This window comes from Homo sapiens, chromosome 5, assembly GCF_000001405.40.
Source record: "Homo sapiens chromosome 5, GRCh38.p14 Primary Assembly".
NCBI lineage: Eukaryota > Metazoa > Chordata > Mammalia > Primates > Hominidae > Homo > Homo sapiens.
The window spans coordinates 42,015,973-42,040,767 of record NC_000005.10 but is presented as its reverse complement, the minus strand read 5'-3'; the positions used below and the strand labels follow the sequence as shown (position 1 = coordinate 42,040,767).

The 24,795-nt window shown below is 35.9% G+C and overlaps 1 protein-coding gene across 1 annotated transcript in view; it reads right to left on the bottom strand.

Annotated features, from left to right (window-relative positions):
* Positions 1 to 363: 363 nt before the first annotated feature.
* Positions 364 to 24,795, bottom strand: part of FBXO4 (F-box protein 4) — a 115,124-nt gene continuing 90,692 nt past the window's right edge. Inside the window, exon 6 of the mRNA XM_011514026.4 lies at positions 364 to 852. Coding sequence (XP_011512328.1) covers positions 725 to 852 — 128 coding nt within the window. The 3' untranslated portion in view covers positions 364 to 724. The remainder of the gene's footprint in view (positions 853 to 24,795) is intronic.

The following is a 24,795-nucleotide window of genomic DNA, read 5'->3' as shown; positions in this document are numbered from 1 at the left end:
TAGTGTGTTGGGGATTGTATGTGTAAAGAAACTTTATATATCTTCAGTTGATTTTGGAAAAGCCTAAAAAATATTAAAACTGTAGAATTTATTTACGGTGATTTTTCTCTAATAAGCATTCTGTGCCATCGGTTGTAATTAATCTGACAACCTGTTTCTTATTTTCTGTCCTTTGGGAAGTGAGATTGCTTGTAAACCTCCATTGTTAAGGTATTGACTGACATAATTTTCTCTTTTGCTGAGAGGTAAGTTCCTCTTAAGATAAAAATTGAAGAAATAAAAAAAATCCTTTTGTGGGAAACTTGGAAACACAGAAGTCAGTTGAGTGACAGAGAAAACAAAGAAGTCAGAAGAATATTATTATTCATTTGTTGAACAAATACATATTAAGTGTTTATTACTTTCTCCAGGTTCTCTTCTAAACAGTGCGGACAGAACAGTAAACAAACGAAACCAAAATAGGTGCACTTATGAAGCTTATACCATAGTGGGGAAAGAAAATAAAAACACACACACATATTAAATTATTTGAAATATGAAAGGTATATGGGCTATGAAGAAAAACAAAGTGGCGAAAAGGGACAGAGAGGGTAGATGGGATACATCTTGCAAAAGGGAGGTGTATTAGTTTTCTGCTGCTAGGTATCAAATTATCACAAACTTAGTGGCTTAAAACAACACCCACTGTCCAGCCTCAGCTTCAATGTGTGCTGTGCTCAGGATCTTACAAAGCTGCAGTCAAGGAGTCAGCCAGAGCTGGTTTCATCTGAGGCTCAGTTTCCTCTTCCAAGCTCATGTAGTTGTTAGCAGAATGCATTTCCTCCCAACTGTGGAACTCAGGGCAGGATGCTTCTACACAGCCAGAAGAAAAGATTCTCTGTAGTTTACAGTCTCTGAACTCCGGAAAAATCTAGGCATTCTTTTAAATGAGTCACCTGATTAGATTAGCCCCACTAGTATAATCTCCATTTTTATTAATTTAAAGTCAAATTGATTTGGGCACTTAATTATATCTGAAAAATTCTTTTCACCTTTGCCGTATAAGGTAACATTATCACGGAAGTACTATCCCATCTCTTTTGCCATATTCTTTCAGTTAGATGCAAGTCACAGGTGTGCCCACACTCAATAGGAGGGTTTTACAAAAGGCTGTGATGTATTTGAGGCCAGCCCAGAGTACATCTGTCACCAGAGGTTATAGGAGTCTTCAGCAAAATAAGGAGAGAGAGCAAGTGGATATTTAAGGGAAGAACATTACTGACAGAGGAGAAAGAAGTGCATAGTTCCACAGGTAGGAACATGTCTGGGAAGTTTAACATCAAGCAAGGAGTCCAGTGTGATTGGAGCAGCAATGCACAAGGATAGTGGGGAGGTGGTCCAGAGTGGGAACAGGTTGCCCGATTTTACAGAGCTGTGAGGAACATTGTCAAGATATTCTACATATTACATTTTTAACATTTTCATGAAGTCTCACTCTTTCAGCAAATCTAGAGGACAAATAACAAGAAATGAAAGGTACTTATGTATTTTGTGACACTATCAGATGTCACAAAAAAGCACAAGTTGTGATTATTTGTTCTCACCTTAGAGAATTTGAGCTCAATTTTAACATAGCTGCATGTTACTTTTTTGCAAAGAACAAGGTCACTTTACTATACCGGGGCTCTCAAATTTGTCATTACAGTTAGAATAAAATGAAACTCTCTCTTGAATAAAGCCATGGGAATAATATGTAACTATGGATAATCATTTAATTCAAGGGAAGAGGCAAAGCACTGGGTTCTACATCTTATAGAAAATGAAAAGGAAGATGTATAGCTGAAGTAAACAAAGTAGAGGCAAAAATAAACCAGTTCCAGAAGACATCACGTTAAGTGAAATAATCCAGGTACAGAAAAACAAATATTGCATGTTCTCACTTATAATGTGGGAGCTTTAAAAAATGAATTCATGGAAGTAGAGAGTGCAATGATGATTGCCAGAGGCTGGGAAGGATAGTGGGGAGGAGAGCATAAAAATGGGTTAGTTAATGGGTGCAAAAATAACAATCAGAATGAATAAGACCTAGTACTTAGTAACACAACAGGGTGACTATAGTTAACAGTAATTTATTGTATGCTTTAAAATAACTAAAAGTGTAGAATTGGAATGTTTTTAATACAAAGAAATGATAAATGCTTCAGGTGATAGATACCACAATTACTCTGATTTGATCATTACACATTGTATGCTTGTATGACAACATCACATGTACACCATAAACATATACAACTATCATGTACCCATAATAATTAACATAAAAATTTTAAAAACAAAATAGAAAATAAAACCAGTTCCTGGAATGGCTGGTAGTAGAATATCATTCTCTGTCAAGTTCTCTGCTTCAACTGTCCTTTCCCCTTTATTGGAAACAATCGTTTAATGAAAACAAGATTAAGCAATGACTATAGTACAGATTGGCACTTGCAAATCTATCCATAACTGCTTTTCCACTTTAATATTTTTAATTAAAAGGTGTCGTCTTGCTTCGTGGTGAACAGAATATGAGTTATCCCTCACCAGATAAGGCACATGTCCCAAATCCCACCCATCTATTTTCTCCACTGGGAGAGGGGAATTGATGGCATGCTCTACCTGAGAATGTAAGGCAGCAAAATGCTCCTGGAAAGGTCACAACACTCTCTTTTAACGGGCACACCGTCAAGGAGATACCACCTCATTTCCTTACTGTTTGAATTCTGAAAGGGTTGCCCATGCTTCTGTCATAGGACCAACTGCTTTGTTTGCCTGCTGTGCAGTAACATACCAACACACCAAGACTGCAGGGTTTACAGCAGAAGAGGAGTTTAATGATGGCAGGGTACTGAGCAAGAAAATGAGAGGAGACCATCAAATAAATCTCCCCAAGGAGTTCTGGGCTGATATTTCTAAGGGGATTGTGGATTTTTAAGGGGATGGAAAATTGAGGTCATTGATTAGTTGGGGTTAGGAGGATGAAAGCATCGGGTCTTGAAAACTACATTCTTTGCTGAGTCAGCTTCCCCTGTGGCCCTTCAGACCAGTGGATGTCAGTAGTTCCACTGTTATGCAGGACATGAAAGAATGTCTCAAAGGGAAAACTTAACATTTTAAAATGTTCAGGTTGTTTTCTATAGAGCAGTTAAGAGGAATTATAATCTTCTAACAGAGTCTACGTGATTCTGAGGCAATAGGCAAACAACTATGAGGACGTGGGTCAGAGAACAAGCTGACCTAATGATTAATGCTGAATGCACTGCAAGCTTAATTTATTTTTGTTTTTCCCCTCCCTTCTTCCCTGATTAACTTTATAAAATTTGTAGGGATGGTTTCAGTTCCTCTAATTTGGCAGTGTAATATGCTTAGATTTTATGAAGCGCATTCCAATTTTAGGATTCTTTCTATCAGGGCTAAAAAGAAGGTGGGGGACGGGGAGTGCTTAGCTAGAAACATACCTGCTCATAACCTTGCCTCTCATCCTGCAAGTGAATACTCAAATAATCCCCTCAAATAATGTTGCCAAGGTAACTCCTACAAAATAAAGAGCTTTGTTTTTGCATACTTCTGTTGACACAAATACTATGAGCTTAAATAAACTGATTAGTGAACTCCAACTGTAGTGAGGATAAATAATATCTCCAATTCATAGAAGCCATGCAAAAATAAAGTCTTTAGGTTTTCCTTTTAAAAGAACAAATCTCTGAACCAAGTGCTGGAGAGCGCTCCCTTTTCTGTGAGGAAAGAGAAATTTGGGTGGAGCTTCTCAATACACCCAAGAAACAACTGATGACTGAGGAATGGGATTAGCCTTTCTTTAGTACCCTCCCCACCAAGTATTCCCTAGACATCTCAGACCATCATATTAAGATGATAAAGTTCTTTACTCAAGGATTAGTTAGCTTTCAAAATGCATATGGTATGTGAAGAAAAAAAAAGCTTGTAACTGTCTACCTGTGGTTGAAAGGAAGTCATTTACAAGTTTGTATCATATATTTTGCTCCTATCTCTGTCTCTTCTCTAACCCTTCCAATCCAGTCCAGCATCTCGCCACTTATCCTCTGGAAATTCCAACTTTCCCCATCAAAGGTGACTCTGCCCCCTCAGGCCCTTTGTGTATATTATAAACTTTAATTCCCCAAGATAAGGCTAGATGCAAACAACGCTACTCAAAGCCTTTTGGTAAATATTTGAATTTCACTAATGGCTGATTTTCTCTCTGTTTTAATTAAGAGGTAAATACATTTATCTAAGACAAGAGCTAACGACCCGTTTTATTTTAAAGGGCCATAGAGTAAACATTTTTGCCTTGCAGGTCATGTGGTCTATGTGCTGTTTTCCAATCAAACGTTTTATCAAAACAGGTAGCAGGAGGGTACTAGTTTGCTGATACCTATGTAAGCCATTTTTTTTCTTAGTAACAAGACTAATCTCATATTCTAATATGCTACTTCTTCTGTAGACATAACTTTACTTTTGTCCATTTTCCTCACATACCCATCCACTAAACATGCAAAAAAAAAAATGAAGAGAAGAATTTGATTATTTTACAGATTAGGCTCCCATCCCAAAGCCACCATTTAAATTTATGGTTTTTATCTTCCAAAATTCTAATTTCTACCCCAGTGGTTCTCAAAGTAATATCTGAAAAACACTAGGAGTATATGAGACTGTTTTAAGCAGTCTGCAATGTCAAAACTATTTTGATAATTATACTAGGACATTACTTGCCTTTTTCACTGTGTTGACATTTGCACTGATGGCACAAAATTAATAGTGGGTAGAACTGCTGTCACCTTACCACAAATCAAGGCAGGGTCAGTTTAAACTCAGTTTGTATTTTTTTAAAGGCAAGTTTCAGTTAAAAATGTCCTTAATGAGCCAATAAAAAATATTAATTTTATTAAATCTTAACCATTCAGTACTTCTCTCTTTAATAGCCTGTGTGAAAAAATGGAAAGTGCACATAAAGGACTTTCACTGCATACCAAAGTACAAAAATTGCCTCTGGGAAAAGCTCTTGCATGACAGTTTGAGCTGCAAGCTGAACAAGCCTCTTTTCTCATGGAACACGATTTTTATTTGTAGGAATGCTGGCAGACAAACCATGGTTCTTCAAACTTGAGTATCTGGCAGGCATTTTCTCAAAAATGAAATAAGCCTGTCATTTAAAGGAAAACATTGATAGTAATCCAATGCCAATGACAATATATGACCTTTAGAGAGAAAATTAGAATTATAGAAAGCTTGTACCTGCAACTATGAGATTAACAGTTTCACAATATTTAAAAATGCTTCTGATAAGATTGGTCATAATATTAACCAATGCTGGAAGCATTCCCTTTGAAAACTGCCACAAGACAAGGATGCCCTCTCTCACCACTCCTATACAACATACTATTGGAAGTTCTGGCTAGGGCAATCAGGCTAGAGAAAGAAATAAAGCGTATTCAAATAGGAAGAGAAAAAGTCAAATTGCCTCTGTTTGCAGTCAAATTCCCCTTCTACATTTAGAAAACCCCATCATCTCAACCCCAAAACTCTTTAAGCCGATAAGCAACTTCAGCAAAGTCTCAGGATACAAAATCAATGTGCAAAAATCACAAGCATTCCTATAAACCAACAACAGACAAGCAGAGACCCAAACCATGAATAAACTCCCAGTCACAATTGTTACAAAGAGAATAAAATACCTAGGAATACAGCTAAAAAGGGATGGGAAGGAGGAATAAGAGAGGACACAAACAAATGGAAAAACATACCATCTTTAGAATAAATATCAAGAAAATGGCCATTCTGCCCAAAGTAATTTATAGATTCCATGCTATTCCCATTAAACTACGATTGACATTCTTCACAGCATTAGAAAAAAACTATTTTAAATTTCACATGGAAAAAAAAGAGCCTGTATAGACAACACAATCCTAACCAAGAGGAACAAAGCTAAGAGGCATCGTGTTACCTGACTTCAAACTATACTACAAGGATATAGTAACCAAAACAGCATGGTGCTGGTACCAAAATAGATACATAGACCAATAGAACAGAACAGAGATGTCAGAAATAACACCATACATCTACAACCATCTGATTTTCGACAAACCTGACAAAAACAATCAATGGGGAAAGGATTCCCTATTTAATAAATGGTGCTGGGAAAACAATCTAGCCATATGCAGAAAACTGAAACAGGACCCCTTCCTTACACCTTATACAAAAATGAACTCAAGATGGATAAAAGACTTAAATGTAAAACCCAAAACCATAAAAACCCTAGAAGAAAACCTAAGTAATACCATTCAGGACACAGGCATGGACAAAGACTTCATGACGAAAATGTCAAAAGCAATTGCAACAAAAGCCAAAATTGAGAAATGGGACCTAATTAAACTAAAGAGCTTTTGCACAGCAAAAGAAGCTATCATCAGAGTGAACAGGCAGCCTACAGAATGGGAGAAAATTTTTGCAATCCACTCACCTGACAAAGGTCTAATATCCAGAATCTATAAGGAACTTAAACAAATTTACAAGTAAAAACAAACAAACCCATCACAAAGCAGGCAAAGGATATGAACAGACACTTCTCAAAAGAAGACATTTATGCAGCCAACAAACATGAAAAAAAAAGCTTAACATCACTGATCATTAGAGAAATGCAAATCAAAACCACAATGAGATACCATCTTATACCAGTCAGAATGGCAATTATTAAAAAGTCAAAAACAATAGATGCTGATGAGGCTGTGGATAACTAGGAATGCTTTTACACTATTGGTGGTAATGAATGTAAATTAATTCAACCATTGCTGAATACAGTGTGGTGATTCCTCAAGGATCTAGAACCAGAAACACCATTTTACTCAGCAATCCCATTACTAGGTATATACCCAAAGGAATATAAATCATTCTACTATAAAGACACATGCAGCAGTATTTACAATAGCAAAGACATGACCAACCCAAATGCCCATCAATGATAGACTGGATGAAGAAAATGTCATACATATACACCACGGAATGCTATGCAGCCATAAAAAGAATGAGATAATATCCTTTGCAGGCACATGGATGAAGCTGTAAGCCATCATCCTCAGCAAACTAACATAGGAACAGAAAACAAAACACTGCATGTTCTCAGTCATAAGTGAGGACATATGAACACAGGAAGGGGAACAACACAAACCAGAGCCAGTTGAGGGGTGGGAGGCGAGGGGAGAAAGAGCATTAGGACAAATAGCTAATGCATACGGGGCTTAAAACCTAGATGACAGGTTGATAGGTGCAGAAAACCACCATGACACACGTATATCTGTGTAACAAACCTACACGTTCTGCACTTGTATCCCAGAGCTTAAAGTAAAATTTTAAAAAAACATCACCACTGAGGGCTACAGTGTTCTGTGTGTCTAAGTGGACATGAAAAGCAGTCTAGGCCATAAAGACTGCAACTCTTAGGTGACTCCTAGTGTTGAACTGGGACAAGAGACAGTGGACTGGAGTTGTGGGAAGATGCAACCTGCTAGGATGCCAGCTGGGGAAGCTAAAGGAGTGCTGACATCACCCCTCCCCCAACCCCAGGCTGCACAGCTCACAACTTCAAAACAGACTTCTTCCTTCCACTTAAGTAGAGGAGAGGGAACAGTGGGGAGGAATTTGTTTTGAATTTTGGATACCAGCTCAGCCACAGCATGATATGGCAGCAGTCAAAGTCATCAGGCCCCATTCCAGGCATTTTTAGCACAACCTAGGCCAGAAGGGAACTGGCTGCCTTGAAGGGAAGGACCTAGGTCTGAGAGCATTCATCATTTGCTAATTGAAGAGCCCTTGGACACTGAATAACCAGCAGCGATACCCAGGCACTATGTTGAGGGCTTTGGGTGAGCCTCTGAGACCTGCTGTCTTCAGGTGAGACTCAGCACAGTGCCAGCTGTAGTGGCTATGGTGTAAAACTCCTGTTGCTTGAAACAATCAGAGGGAAAAGTAAAAGGGGACTTTTTCTTGCACCTTAGGTACTAGCACAGCCACGGGGGGGTAGAGCACCAAGTGGGCCCTTGGGATTCTTGATTCCAGGAATTGAACGTTGGATGGCATTTCTAGACCTGCCCTGGGCCAGAGGGGAGCCCACTGTCCTGAAGCGTGAGTCTCACATCAGGCAGCATTCACCATAAGCTGACTTAAGAGACCTTAGCCTTAAGGGAATGTTGGCAGTAGTCTGGCAGTAGTTCCCATTGTCTATAGTGGTGGGGGCTAAGAGGTAAGGCTTCTCTGCCTTGGGAAGTGGGAGGGAAGAGTGGGAAGGACTATGCCTTGTGAATTGAGTGCCAGCTCAGCTGCAGTGCAATAGAACACCAAGTAGACTTCTGAGGTTTTTATTCTAGTGCCTGACTCCCATATGGCATCTCTGGACCCACCCAAGACCTGGGGGAACTCCCTAGACTGCAGGGGAGGACATAGGCCTTCCTGGCTTTGTGATCTGCTTATTGTAGAGCCCCAGGGCCTTGAAAAACATAGGCAGTAGCCAGAGGGCCGTCACTGCAGGCCTTGGGTGAGAAATAGTGCTGTGCTGGCTTCAGGTCTGATCCAGCACAGACACAGTGGTAGTGGGCACAGGGGTGATTGTGTCACTCCACCCCCAGCTTTACATGACCCAGAACACACACACACACACACACACACACACACACACACACACACAGAAAAAAAGACAGAGAGAGTGAGAGAGAGACTACAGCTGTTTGGGAGAAAGTAAGGGAAGAGAACAAGAGTCTCTGCCTAGTAATCCAGAGAATTCTCCTGAATCTTTTCCAAGGTGGTACCTCTACAAGTCTGCAAGAACCACAGTGTTACTGAACTTACGATGCTTCCTAATGCAGATACAGGTTAAATCACAGCACTCAAGTCTTACCGAATATCTAGAATGCTCTCCCAATAAGGACATGTACAAATAAGCCCAGACGATGAAGACTACAATAAATATCTACCTCTTCAATGCCAGACACTGAAGAACATCTACTAGCATCAAGACCATCCAGGTAAACATGACCTCACCAATGAACTAAATAAGGCATTCACGACAAATCCTGGAGAAACACAGATATGTGACCTTTCTTTTTTTGTTTGTTTGTTTTTTTAATTTTATTATTATTATACTTTAAGTTTTAGGGTACATGTGCACAATGTGCAGGTTTGTTACATATGTATACATGTGCCATGTTGGTGTGCTGCACCCATTAACTCGTCATTTAGCATTAGGTATATCTCCTAATGCTATCCCTCCCCCCTCCCCCCACTCCACAACAGTCCCCGGTGTGTGATGTTCCCCTTCCTGTGTCCATGTGTTCTCATTGTTCAATTCCCACCTATGAGTGAGAACATGTGGTGTTTGGTTTTTTTGTCCTTGTGATAGTTTGCTGAGAATGATGGTTTCCAGTTTCGTCCATGTCCCTACAAAGGACATGAACTCATCACGTTTTATGGCTGCATAGTATTCCATGGTGTATATGTGCCACATTTTCTTAATCCAGTCTATTGTTGTTGGAAATTTAGGTTGGTTCCAAGTCTTTGCTATTGTGAATAGTGCCACTATAAACATACATGTGCATGTGTCTTTATAGCAGCATGATTTATAATCCTTTCGGTATCTACCCAGTAATGGGATGGCTGGGTCAAATGGTATTTCTAGTTCTAGATCCCTGAGGAATTGCCACACTGACTTCCACAATGGTTGAACTAGTTTACAGTCCCACCAACAGTGCAAAAGTGTTCCTATTTCTCCACATCCTCTCCAGCACCTGTTGTTTCCTGACTTTTTAATGATTGCCATTCTAACTGGTGTGAGATGGTATCTCATTGTGGTTTTGATTTGCATTTCTCTGATGGCCAGTGACAATGAGGATTTTTTTATGTATTTTTTGGCTGCATAAATGTCTTCTTTTGAGAAGTGTCTGTTCATATCCCTCACCCACTTTTTGATGGGGTTGTTTGTTTTTTTCTTGTAAATTTGTTGGAGTTCATTGTAGATTCTGGATATTAGCCCTTTGTCAGATGAGTAGGTTGCGAAAATTTTCTCCCATTTTGTAGGTTGCCTGTTCACTCTGATGGTAGTTTCTTTTGCTGTGCAGAAGCTCTTTAGTTTAATTAGTTCCCATTTGTCAATTTTGGCTTTTGTTGCCACTGCTTTTGGTGTTTTAGACATGAAGTCCTTGCCCATGCCTATGTCCTGAATGGTATTGCCTAGGTTTTCTTCTAGGGTTTTTATGGTTTTAGGTCTAACATTTAAGTCTTTAATCCATCTTGAATTAATTTTTGTGTAAGGTGTAAGGAAGGGATCCAGTTTCAGCTTTCTACATATGGCTAGCCAGTTTTCCCAGCACCATTTATTAAATAGGGAATCGTTTCCCCATTTCTTGTTTTTGTCAGGTTTGTCAAAGATCAGATGGTTGTAGACATGCAGCATTATTTCTGAGGGCTCTGTTCTGTTCCATTGGTCTATATCTCTGTTTTGGTACCAGTACCATGCTGTTTTGGTTACTGTAGCCTTGTAGTATAGTTTGAAGTCAGGTAGCATGATGCCTCCAGCTTTGTTCTTTTGGCTTAGGATTGACTTGGCGATGTGGGCTCTTTTTTGGTTCCATATGAACTTTAAAGTATTTTTTTCCAATTCTGTGAAGAAAGTCATTGGCAGCTTGATGGGGATGGCATTGAATCTATAAATTACCTTGGGCAATATGGCCATTTTCACGATATTGATTCTTCCCACCCATGAGCATGGAATGTTCTTCCATTTGTTTGTATCCTCTTTTGTTTCATTGAGCAGTGGTTTGTAGTTCTCCTTTCAGAGAATTAGAAATATCTGTGTTGAGGAAACTCCAAAAAATTCAAGATAACACAGAGAAGGAATTCAGAATTCTATTGGATAAATTTAACAAAGAGATTAAAATAATTTAAAAGAATCAAGCAGAAATTCTGGAGTGGAAAAAAATGCAATTGGCATACTGAAGAATGTATCAGAGTCATTTAATAGCAGAATGAATCAAACAGAAGAAAGAATTAGTGAGCTTGGAGTCAGGATATTTGAAAATACATGGTGAGAGGAGATAAAAGAAAAAATAAAAAAATAAATAAAAACAATAAAGCACACCTACAGAATCTATAAAATAGCCTCAAGATGGCAAATCTGAGTTATTGGCCCCAAGTACATGGTAGGAAAAGAGATAGGAGTAGGAAATGTATTTAAAGGGATAATAACAGAATCCCCCAAACCTAGGGAAAGATAGCAACATCCAATTACAAGAAGGTTATGAAACACCAAGCAGATTTAACTCAAAGAATACCACCTCAACGAATTTAATAATAAAATTTCCAAAGATCAAGGATAAAGGAAGGATCCTAAAGTAGCAAAAGAAAAGAAACAGATAATATACAATGGAGCTGCAATACGTCTGGCAGCAGATTTTTCAGTAAAAACATTACAGGCCAGGAGAGAGTGGCATGACGTATATAAAGTGCTGAATGAGAAAAAGTTTTATCCTAGAATAGTATATCCAGTGAAAATATTCTTCAAATGTGAAGGAGAAATAAAGACTTTCTGAGGCAAACATAAGCTGAGGGATTTCGTCAATACCAGACCTGTCCTACAGGAAAAGCCAAAGGGAGTACTTCAATAAGAAAGAAAAGGAATGTAATGAGCAAAAAGAAATATCTGAAGATATAAAACCCACTGGTAATAGTAAGCATGCAGAAAAACACAAACTGTTATAACACTAACTGTGATGTGTAAACTACTCATCCTCTGTATAAAGACTGAACATTGAACCAAATAAATAAATGACTACAACAACTTTTCAAGACATAGATAGTAAAGTACAATAAGATAAAAATTAAAACAAAAAAAGGTAAAAAGCGGGAGACAAAGTTAAGGCATAGAGTTGGTTTTTTTTTAGTTTTCTTTTTGTTTGTTTGTTTATGCAAACTATGTTAAGTTGTTATCAGGTTAAAATAATGGGTTATAAGATAGTATTTGCAACCTTCATGGTAACCTCAAGCCAAAAAAGATACATTGGATACACAAAAAATTAAAAGCAAGAATATAAATCATATCACCAGAGAAAAACATGCTCACTAAAGGAAGAAAGGAAATGAAAGAAAAAAGGAAGAGATGAGCACAGGACAACCAGAAAACACATAGCAAAATGGCAGGAGGAAGTCCTTACTTCTCAATAGTAACATTGAATATAAATGGACTAAACTCTCCAATAAGAGGTCATAGAGCAGCTGAATGGATGAAAAAAGAAAGACCGATTGATCTGTTGTCTGTAAGAAACACACTTCACCTATAAAAACACACAAAAACTGAAAATAAAGGGATGGAAAAAGATAATTCCATGCCAATGGAAACCAAAAAAGAGCAGAAGTTGCTATACTTCTTTCAGACAAAACAGATTTCAAGACAAAAACAATAAGAAGAAACAAAGAAGGTCAATATATAATGATAAAGACGTCAGTTCAGCAAAAGAATATAACAATTTTAAATATATATGCACACACACTTGAGCACCAACATGTATAAAGCAAATATTATTAGAGCTACTCCAATACAATAATAGCTGGAGACTTCAACACCCCATTTCAGCATTTCTTCCAGACAGATCTTCCAGACAGAACATCAAAAAAGAAATATTAGACTCAATGTGCTCTGTATACCAAATGGATCTAATAAGTATTTACAGAATATTTCACCCAGTGACTATAGAATACACATTCTTTTCTTTAGCACATGGGTCATTCTCAATGATAGACCATATGTTAGTTCACAAAGCAAGTCTTAAAACACTGAACATATTGAAATAATGCCAAGCATCTTCTCTGGCCACAATGGAATGTAACCAAACGTCAATAACAAGAGGAACTTTGGAAACTATACAAACACATGGAAATTAAAGAATAGGCTCCTGAATGACCAGTGGGTCAACGAATAAGTTAGAAAATGCTTTGAAACAAATGATAATGGAAACACAACATACCAAAACCTATGGGATACAGCAAAACCAGTACTATGGGGGAAGTTTGTAGCTTATCAGTGCCTACATCAAAAAACAGGAAAAACTTCAAATAAAGAACCTAATGATGCATGTTAAAGAACTAGAAAAGCAAGAGCAAATCAAACCCAAAATTGGTAGAAGAAAATAATAAAGAATAAAGAGCAGAGCAGAAATAAATGAAATTGAAATGAAAAAATACAAAAGATCAATGAAACAAAAAGCTGTTTTTCAAAAAAGTTAAACAAAATTGACAAACCCTTAGCCAGACTAAGAAGAAAAAAGAGAAGATCTAAATAAAATCAGAAACAAAATAGGAGACATTACAACTGATACTGAAGAAATTCAAAGGATCAGTAGAGACTACTATGAGCAACTGTATGCTCATAGTTAATTGGGAAATCTAGAAGAAATGGACAAATTCTTAGATACATACAACCTACCAATTGAACTAGGAAGAAATCCAAAACCTGAACAGAGCAATAACAAGTAATGAGATCAAAGCTGTAATAAAAAGTCTTCCAGTAAAGAAAAGCCCAGAACCTAATGGTTTCACTGTTGAATTCTACCAAACATTTTAAGAATAACTAATACCAATCCTACTCAATCTGTTCCAAAAAACATAGGAGGAGGGAGTGCTTTCAAACTCATTCTATGAGGCCAGCATTACCCCGATCCCAAAACCAGTCAAAGACACATCAGACAAAGAAAACTACAGGCCAATATCTCTGAGGAATATTGATGCAAAAGTCCTCAACAAAATGCTAGCAAGCTGAATTGAAAAATACATTAGAAAGATTTTTCATCATGACCAAGTGGAATTAATTCCTGAGATTCAAGAATGGTTCAACATATGCAAGTCAATCAGTGTAATATATCATATCAACGGAATGAAGGATAAAAACCATATGATTATTTCAAGTGATGGTGAAAAAGCATTTGATACAATTCAACATCCTTTTATAAAAAACTGGGTGTAGAAGGAATATACCTCATCATATTGAAGCCATATGTGACAAACCCTCAGCTAGTATCATGCTGAATGGGGAAAAACGGAAATCCTTTCATCTAAGATCCAGAGCACAACAAGAAGGCTCATTGTCACCACTGTTATTCAACATAGTACAGGAAGTCCTAGCTAGAGGAGTCAGAAAAGAGGAAGAAATAAAAAGCATCCAAATTGGCAAGGCAGAAGTCAAATTATCCTTCCTTGCAGATGATATAATCTTCTATTTGTAAAAACCTAAATACTACACAAACAAACCTAGAACTGGTAAATAAATTCAGGAAAGTTGCAGGATGCAAAATCAGCATACAAAAATCAGTATGCTGATTTCTATATATAAAAATCAGTGTGGCATTTCTATATGCCAACAGTGAAAAATGTGAAAATGAAATAAAAAAGTAATGTCATTTACAATAGCTACAAGTGAAGTTAATCACCTAGGAATTAACCAGAGAAGTGAAAGATCTCTATAAGGCAAACTATAAAACATTGATAAAAGAAATTGAAGAGGACACCAAAAAATGGAAAAATATTCCATGATTATGGATTAAAGAATCAATAATCTTAAAATGCCCATAAAACCCAAAGCAATCTACAGAATCAATGCAATTCCTATCAAAATACCAGTGACATTCTTCTCAGAAATAGACAAAACAATACTAAGATTTATATGGAACCACAAAAGACCCAGAATAGCCAAAGCTATCATAAGCAAAAAACAAAACTGAAGGAATCACATTACCTGACTTCAAATTATACTACAGAAGTATAGTAGCTAAAACAGTTTGATACTGGCATAAAAACAAACACAGAGGCCAATGGAATAGAAAAGAGAAGCCAGAAATAAACCTGCACACCTACAGTAACTCACTTTCAACCCAGATGCCAAGAACAAATACTGGGGAAAAGACAGTCTCTTCAATAAATAGTTCACAGAAAACTGGATGTCCATATTCAGAAGAATGTAACTAGACTCCTCTCTCTCTCCATTCACAAAAATCAAATCAAAATGAATTAAAGACTTAAATCTAAGACCTCACACTATGAAACTACTACAATAAAATGCTGGGGAAAATCTCCAGGACATTCGTCTGGGAAAAAAAATCTTGATTAATACCCCATGAGCACAGGCAACCAAAGCAAAAATGAATAAATGGGATCGCATCAAGTTAAAAAGCTTCTGCACAGCAAAGGAAACAATCAATAAAGTGAAGAGACAACCCAAACAATGGAAAAAGTATTTGCAAATTACCCATCCGACAAGGGATTAATAACCAGAATATATAATGAGCTCAGACAACTCTACAGGAAAAAAATCAAAATGGGCAAAAGATCTGAATAGGCATTTCTCAAAAGAAGACATATAAATGGCAAACAGGCATATGAAAAGGTGCTCAACATTATTGATCATCAGAGGAATGCAAATCAAAACTACAATGAGATATCATCTCACCCCAGTTAAAATGGCTTATATCCAAAAGACAGGTAATAATAAATGTTGGTAATGATGTGAAGAAAAGGGAACCCTATCCACTATTAGCAGGAATGTAAATTAGTACAACCACTATGGAGAACAGTTTGGAGGCTTCTAAAAAAACAAAACAAAAAATAGAGCTACCATATGATCCAGCAATCCCATTGCTGAGTATATACCCAAAAGAAAGAAAATCAATATATTGAAGAGATATCTGCACTCCCATATTTGTTGCGGCACTGTTCACAATAGCTAAGATTTGGAAGCAACATAAGTGTCCATCAGCAGATGGATGGATAAAGAAAATGTGGTACATATACACAATGGAGTACTATTCAGCCATAAAAAAGAATGAGATCCTGTCATTTGCAACAATATGGATGGAACTGGAGGTCATTATGTTAAGTGAAATAAGCCAGGAACAGAAAGACATCATTTGTTCTCACTCATTTGTGGGATCTAAAAATCAAAACAATTGAACTCATGGACATAGAGAGTAGAAGGATGGTTACCAGAGGCTAGGAACAGGAGTGAGTGGGTGGTGGAGAGGCAGAGATTGTTGGTGGGTCCAAAATATTTATAAAGAATGAATAAAATCTACTATTAGCACAACAGGGTGACTGTAGTCACTAACTTAATTGTACATTGTAAAATAACTAAAAGAATTAACGGGATTGTTTGTAACACAAAGGATAAATGCTTGAGGGGATGGATACCCCATTTTCCATGATGTAATTATTATACATTGCATGCCTGTATCAAAACATCTCATGTACCCCTATATAAACATATACCTCTATTAGGTACCCACAAAAATTAAAAAGAACATATAAAATTTTAAAAAAGAGTATGGCATTGTTTTCAGTTCATTCTGTTACACAGACAACAAATATTTTTCAAGTTCTTATAATGTGTTTATCATTATGATTACCTTTTAGAAAGATATAGGCAGTATAGTACATATTCTTTGTCTTGAATGAGCTTATAAATTAATTGGTGACACACACATATAAATTAAATAACAATAATTCAAGAAGTAGCTTGAGGCAATATTAGATTAAATTTTCATTTAGCAGTACAGAAAATAAATACAATGAGCTCAGAAGGCTGTGAAGGCTATTAGTGAAGGCTGATGAAGAAAGAATTTTACCTGGGACATAAAGGATAAATAGAATTTAGATAAATAGTTTTACAATAAATGTAAGGGACCAGTAAGGTCACAACCTAAGCCAAAGTTCAGAGCAAAGGGTGCATGTATATATACAGCCAACAGCCAGCAAACCTGATCAGAGGGGAAGGTTTTGGTGTGGAGAACAGCAATGTTGCCCACAGTTTTCTTTGTTGCAAGGTGCAGATAGTCGGCTCAAATGGGAACTGATAAATTCTTGTAACTTAAAACCTCAGTGCAGAACTTCCTTCAGAATTAAGAAAAACAGGACATCAGAGTAAGCTCAATGTAACTATTGTTGCAAATTGAATATTTTCTGGCTATTTAATACAAGCAGATGGGGGTTCATATTATTATTTCAGGGTGTGCTATGATTCTCCATCTCTCTGCTTTGCCCTTGTTTGTGATGTGACTTCAATTTGCAAATTGGTGTCTGCACATGATGGGGAAAATGGCCATGGATATTTCTGCTTTCATATCCACTTAGCTTAGAAACTGGATGGGAAAAAAATAACTTTCTCACAGCAACTGTATAACAATTTAGGAAAGAATGACTGGCTTATTATAGACCATGTACCCAAATAGAATACCTATTGTATTTAGAGAGGAACAAAGCTACTAGGATTGTCTCAGAGTTCATCGTTTGCCCAAACCCTGTGATGGTTGTGAGGAATCATCAGGTGCACAGGCATTGAAGGAGGTGCATTCCCCAAAGGTAACAGAGATGCTAAACAGGAAAAAATTAGCAGATTCCACAATAACAACAGATCTCAACCCTCTTGGTAGGTTTCTCCAAGCAATACGTTAGAGATGTATAATATATCTTCATACTATGTGCTATCTATGAACTATGAATCTCAATTCTATTATAACAATTTTTTAAATAATGTCTGGAATTTACAAAACATTCCCCAGGTTGCCCACGTATTCGGTCCTAGAAAGTGGGTTCACTTCTCTTTTCACCACAGTCCCAAATCATTATCGTAGTCAGACAATGGAGTGCATCAAGTGTTAGATAAGAACATTGTTCTTTATTATGTTTATATTTGATATTGGCATTGTTACCTAAACATCATTGTAGAAATTGACATTTGTATTTCATTTTTTTTAAACCCTGTATTTGTTCAAATTATCTATTCACAGAATAATCTGAGCCTTTCTTGCTTGCTTATGTTCTCATGGAGAAAACTAAGACAAGAGTATCCAGATAATCTGAGCTTCTCTTTTCTCCCTCATCTCCACACTCTCATACCCTGCACACGTCAGCTGTCATATATCTACAAACCAAAACAGTCTGGAGAGTGTCAAAAGACCATGTGATTTTATTTCCCAACTTCTCCACCCACTATACACTTCTACTGTGTGAGTAAACAAAAATATCCAACCTCACTTTGGAATACTGAAGCATGTAACTAATTATGTCTATAAGATAATGCCGTCTGTCAGAGACACCTTTAGGAGGTACTCATAAAGAATTACTAAAATCAGAACTTCAATGGTGAGCCTGAAAAAGAATTGTGGTAAAATAGCATCAGAGTAAAAGTGGTAAAGAATTAAGAAAAACAGGACATCAGAATAAACTCAGTGTAACTATTGTTGCAAATTGAATATTTTCTGGCTATTTAATACAAGCAGAATGATGTATAACAACTGTAGCTTTACTTTCATATAAATAAAGCTGAAAATTCACTATAGTTTTGCAGCCACTGGCTGGGCACTTACAATTCATTTAGGGTATTTGCTTTGCCCAATAATAAAATTGGCTTATTCAGTGCATATGAATTGGCATGTTCCTTCAGGGCTTTTCTCTTTTTCTCCAATGTCTGCATCTATTTGCTTAGAAATTCCAGTGGGTTTGTGGGGAAGCCACTTTAAGAAGGTAAAGGAAGGACATGTCAGAAGAGTGAATGGACACAGTCTGCTGCACACAGTGGACCTAGAGTCCCACACAACTCATTTAAGCCCTTCTTATGAATGAGATCATCTGAAGGCTAAACCAAATGTTCTCGTTCAGAATGACGTACCCAAAGTGTTTCCAAAATTAACCCAGACCATGAAAGAAACCAAATCTGAGTTTTTGTTAGCTTTTCTTAAAACTTAATCTAGTTTGTCCTTGCTCTCACCATCAACAGGAGTAATTAGATCAATGTAAGAAAAGTGTGAAGTAAATATACTAAAGCATATATTTTTCCTGCTATTTGATTCATGCTTTTATTCTTTCTCTGTTGCTGTTCTTCAACATTCTGTCTCTTTAAAAATATGTACCTGAATTAAAATGCACACTTTAAAAAATTACACAATACCAAATGAGAAGCGAAAGTCTCCTACCCAATCCCACAAACTCCAGTCCCTTTATAAAGGGAAAAATAACTTTTAACTAATTCTGCTCTTAATCTTCTGGTAATCATCACCTAAATTCTAAGTGATATGTTTAACCTATAGATTGGAAAAATGGCTGTTAGGTTGATGACTGTAAATTTTTTAATTGTAACCATGACTTCTTGACTGAACACCAGTCTCGTAGAGGCAGCCGCCAGCTTGTATGTTCAATGAGCATTGCAAACTTAACACCCCTAAAACAGAATTGTAGATTCCATACCATTCTCTGTCCCAAATTTAGTTCACCATGAGTCTCTCCAATTTCAATGACAATATGATCTAAAAGGGTGCTCAAATCAAGACCTAGGAGTCATCTCTGATTCTTCCATTTCCTTCTCCCTCTCTAGTCAATTAATCACCAAGCCACAGGAATGCTCTCTAACCAAAATATATCTTGAATCTTTCCCTTGTATCCATGTCCGTTCCACTTAATCCAAGCCACTACTGGTTGCTAACTGAACAACTGGAACAGTTAACTGATTTCCTTCCTTCAACTCTTATCCGATTTTAATCTATTTTCTATATAGCAGCCAGAGAAGTCTTTAAAATGTTATCAGATCCTAATCGTTTTCTGTTTAAAAACTCTTATACTCCACTTAGAATAAAAATCATAATGCCTAGTTGTGACCTACAGGACCCTGTGTGATCTGATTCTTGCCTTCCTCTCTTACCTCACTTCATGTCATGCTTCTATTTGCACCCTATACTCCAGTTGCATTAGGCTCCATTCCTGTCCTTTGAGCATGCCTGGAATGCTAATTTCCTAGTGTTTACCTGGATTCCTTCTCATCTTTAAGGTCTTAGTTTAAATATCACTTCCTAAAGGAGCAACCTGTGTCTAACCCATTCTAACTCCCTTTCCCTTTGCTTTTTCAAGTGGGTATTGGAAAGATAAAGGCTTCATTTCTCAGCCTCCTTATGGCTAGTGGAGGCCATACTGCCGGTTCTGGCCCATGAGACATAAGTTGAAGTTGGCTGTGGTTTCTTCTATTTCATTCTTCCTCCCCGGAATGCAAACAGAAAGCTGGATGTACAGCAATTCCTGATAAGCAGGGCAGAACAGAGAGAAAAGAGCCTCGTTCCTTGCTGGCGTTATTAATAACACCACACCGACTGTGAACTGAAAAATCAAACTTCTTATTTCATGAGACAAATAAAAATTGTTTAAACCACTATTTATTAAGTTTTCTGGTAATCACAGATAAACATAATCCTAAGTGATACAACACTCACAGCAGTTTCTATCATGTTACCCTCTTGATTCACTCTGTATTTATCTAGATCAGAAATTATTTTGTTTTCTAATTTTACTAGTTTGTTATGTTTATCCCAGTCAACAAATAATTGTTGAATAAATGTTAAATAAAGGAATATCAATAATTGTTACTTGATTGATATTAGATCACTTCATTTTACTCCTTAATAGGAAGGATGAAAGTTTAGATTACTATCCCGTAAATAATTTTGCTGTTATATTTAATTTCTTGTGGCTACCTTTTGACCTTAAATAGTATTTAAACTGAAATATTGGGGGCACTATTTCTTGATTCCATTATCTGAGATGAGAGAATCAACAATTGTGCATTCTCTTCCCACTATTTCCTAATCCCACAATTTTTATTTTGGCAGGATTTAGAATATTCATAATCTTTTCTGTATCTAAAATTAAGTCGTTCATGCTTTGCTTATGGATTGATTTACAAATTAAAAAATCAGCAATAATTTTGAAAATTATTATTTTATAGCTATTTTTCATTCTAAAACAGAGTTGCGTAAATCAAAATGTGGCAAACAAATTTTGTATATCTCTAACCTTGTCACTCAATTATTTAAAATAAGTGTAATATATACTTTTCAAAAACATGAAAGAATATAGAACACTAGGTAGAAAAAAATTACATATTATTTTAATAAGGTTTTAATTAATGGAAATGTAATCCAAATATGTAACTTTACATTTTCTTTTTTCTTTCTTTCTTGGTTTTTTTTTTTTTGAGACGGAGTCTTGCTCTGTCTCACCCAGGCTGGAGTGCCATGGTGTGATCTTGAATCATTGCACTGCAGCCTTTGCCTCTTGGGTTCAAGCAATTCTGCTGTCTCAACTTCCTGAGTAGCTAGGACTACAGGCGTGTGCCACCACACCCAACTAATTTTGTATTTTTAGTAGAGATGGGGTTTCACCATGTTGGCCAGGCTGGTCTCAAACTCTTGACCTCAGGTGATCCACCCGCCTCGGACTCCCAAAGTGCTGGGATTACAGGCGTGAGCCACTGCACCTGGCCTAATTTTACATTTTCTAGTAGACACATTTAAAAAGTAAAAGAAACAAGTAAAATTAATTTGAGCGTCTAACTTATTTAACTCATTATTATTTCATCATGTAATCTATATAAAAATTATTAATAAGTTATTTTACATTCCTCCTTTCATACCAAGTCAGCCAAATTCAGTATGTATTTTATATTTACAGCACATTTTAATTGCAAAGCCATATTTTTGTTGGAAATGCTTGATTATACTTAAATTTTATAAAATTTAGATTGCATATAAGTTGCCCCAAATATACTTAGGTTATTAAACTTAACTTCAAATGTACTGAAATTAAATTAAATTAAAAATTCAATTCTTCAGTTAAACTAATCTCATTTTAAGTGCTCTATAGCCACATATGGCTATAGTATTGGACAGTATAATTATAAATTAACCAGTGTTCCCTTCGCTCTGTTCACCACACTGAATGACAAGATGCTGACATTTGCTGCTAGGAGGCTGCTACCCATTAGTAGCCCTAGCAGCATTTCTCTCCCTAGTTGAGTTTTGCATTGACAAAGATGAAGTTACATTTATTACAAAATCTGCTTGATCTCTTTGTTATTGTCATTATAATTGTGCCACCGATCAACAGTACAAAATATTGATGAAAGATGAGAATAAAGAGAAAAACTTCTTTCTCTGTTAAACTCAATGCTTTTGGGGGAAAAAGGTAAATCACCAAAAGAAAAATTCTATTGACTTAGGGACAAACAAGATTATTGTAAATATTTGAGAAAGCATGTAAAAATATGAAATAATCTGTACTTTTGCTTGGTAAATTTCTTTAAGTACTTTCTACACTTTATAAAAAACAGAAACTTGAAACAATAAGCAATTTTTTGGCATCTATTGAGATAATCACATAATCTTCTTTCATTTAACTGTTAACCTAATTAATTGTGTCAAGAGTTTCACTTATGTTTTACTTTTATTTCTTCATGTTATTCCCTAAGTACAATGCTGAATTTAATTTGGAAATATTTTATCAGCATTTTTGCACTTGTTTGTAGTTTTATTTTTCTGTGCCATTCATGACTGGTTTTGACATTAGGATTATGCTAGGCTTTCAATAATCAATTTTTATGTTTGGTGTTCTCATTATTTTTCACTGCTAATCTGAAACATTTGCTCTGATTTTTTCTCAACCTAGAGTTTATCATGGGAGAAAAATATAATACATATAATATTACACATATATTTTAGTTTATTAGATATATATAATTTTATATATATAGTTTGTTAATTATAATAATAATGAAATTATTCATTATGTTCCTTTTTATCATTTTAATCAATCATTTCAGAGATAAATACCTTAGAGTCTCCCATTGAGGTTCTGGTTTTAACAATTTTTGCCATCAATTCTTAGATTCTAAATCTTTTTAAAACTACTATTTGAACCAGAAATCTAATTACTGAGTATATATCCAAAAGAAAACAAATCATCTACCAAAAAGACACATGCACTCACATGTTCACTGCAGCACTATTCACAATAGCAACATGATGGAATCAATATAGGTGCCCAGAGACGGTAGATTAGATAAAGAAAATGCGGTGCATAGCATGGAATACCATGCAGCAATAAAAAAAAAAAGGCAGGAAATCATGTTCTTTGCAGCAACATGGATGGCCCTGGAGGCCATTACCCTAAGTGAATTGATGCAGGAACAGAAAACGAAATTATCACATGTTCTCACTTATAAGTGGGAGTTAAACATCAGGTACTTATGGACATAAAGATGGCAACAATGACACTGGGGACTACTAGAGGGGGGCAGGAAAGAGGGGGACAAGGGTTGAAAAAGTGTTGGATATTATGCTTGATTCCTAAGTAACAGGATAATTCATGTCCCAAACCTTAGTATTATGCAATATACCCAAGTAACAAACCTGCACATGTACCTCCAAAGCTAAAATAAAGGTTGAAAAAGAGAAAAAAAAAGAAATTTTTTGAAAATAAAATAAAATAAAATAAACTACCTTAAAAAAGTCTTCCTGGAGAATTGTACCTTTCTTCAAGATACTGTTCATTTTCCATGTAATGATTTTTGGTTATATTTCTCTTCCGTTTGATATCAATATTTTCATGACTTTTTTCTTAGAATTTGCCAAATCTTTTTAAGTTTTTTCTTTCTTGCATTTGTTTTAGATTTGTCTCATAAACAGCTTTTATAGATACATTTTGTTGTTACTATTTATTTATTCTTAGTATGATGACAAGCTGTGTTCTTCTCAATCGATTGCCTCAGTTTTCCTCAGATACATATGTTATATCTATACTATATACGATATACTATAATAAAAGAAACATTTTCTTTTATTCTTGAAATTGCCTAGAATGTCTAGGAAAAGACTAATATCATCTAAAACACTGTCTAAATATTGCTAATTAATCGATATCCTGCTTTAACAGTTAGAATACTTTTGGCTACAAGTAATAGATTATCTGGCTAACACTACTGAAATATAAAGTCTTTTATTTCAACAAAAAAAGTTAGGTTAAAAAACAAAGTTTGCCCACTGGTGGATAAAATTGAAAACTAAGTATCATAATTGAGTAACCACAGCCAATCATATCTTTCTTTTATTATCTTTTTCAAATTCAACAGTAATTACAACAGACTATTAAAATAATCCAATTTTACAACCAGATCACTACATTCTTTGTTATAAAGCTTTTTAAAATTTCAAAAAAGGACCTATATTCAATTTTTCTCACTTAAAATATTATATATTAGTAACATTTTAACAAGTTGCTGAGAACATAGTTTTTATACCACTAATAAATAAAAAAATTGTTTATTTAAAATTATAAAAAAGAAATCTGTTTACAGGAGGTTGCAAGGTTGCTTTGTGGTTGAATTATGCCGAGAAGGACCCAGGCTTTTTTTGTTTTTCTAGTCTGCTATCCTTTGTGCTTTAGCTATGCCTCTTACCATGGTGGCAGAATGGTTATTGAAGTTCCAATCATCATGTCATCATATAATAACATCCTAAGGAAAAAAAAAAGGAGGGAGGGGGAATAAAGCTTTCCTTCTGCATCTTTCTCCTTTTACAAGAGAGAATAATCCTTTGCAGCATCCCCAACAGTTTTCTGTTTGTATCTCATTACTCAGAACAGAGCAACATGCCACCTCTGTCTGCAGGACAAGTAAAGAAAGTAACTTTTTCAGCCTCTATACCTGGAGATGAGCATGGAAAAGGGAATTGGGAATGGCTAATGATTGAAAATTAACAGTTTTCTAGCTCGCTACTCTATTTTTCTTTTAATCAATTAATATATGTATCTTTTCCATCTTTTCTTTGTGCTTCCCAATGTTAATGTCCGTTCTCCCTTCACAAGACTTAACATTTCTACCTAAATGCACTTTTAATGTTTTCCTACTGAGGACATCCCTGA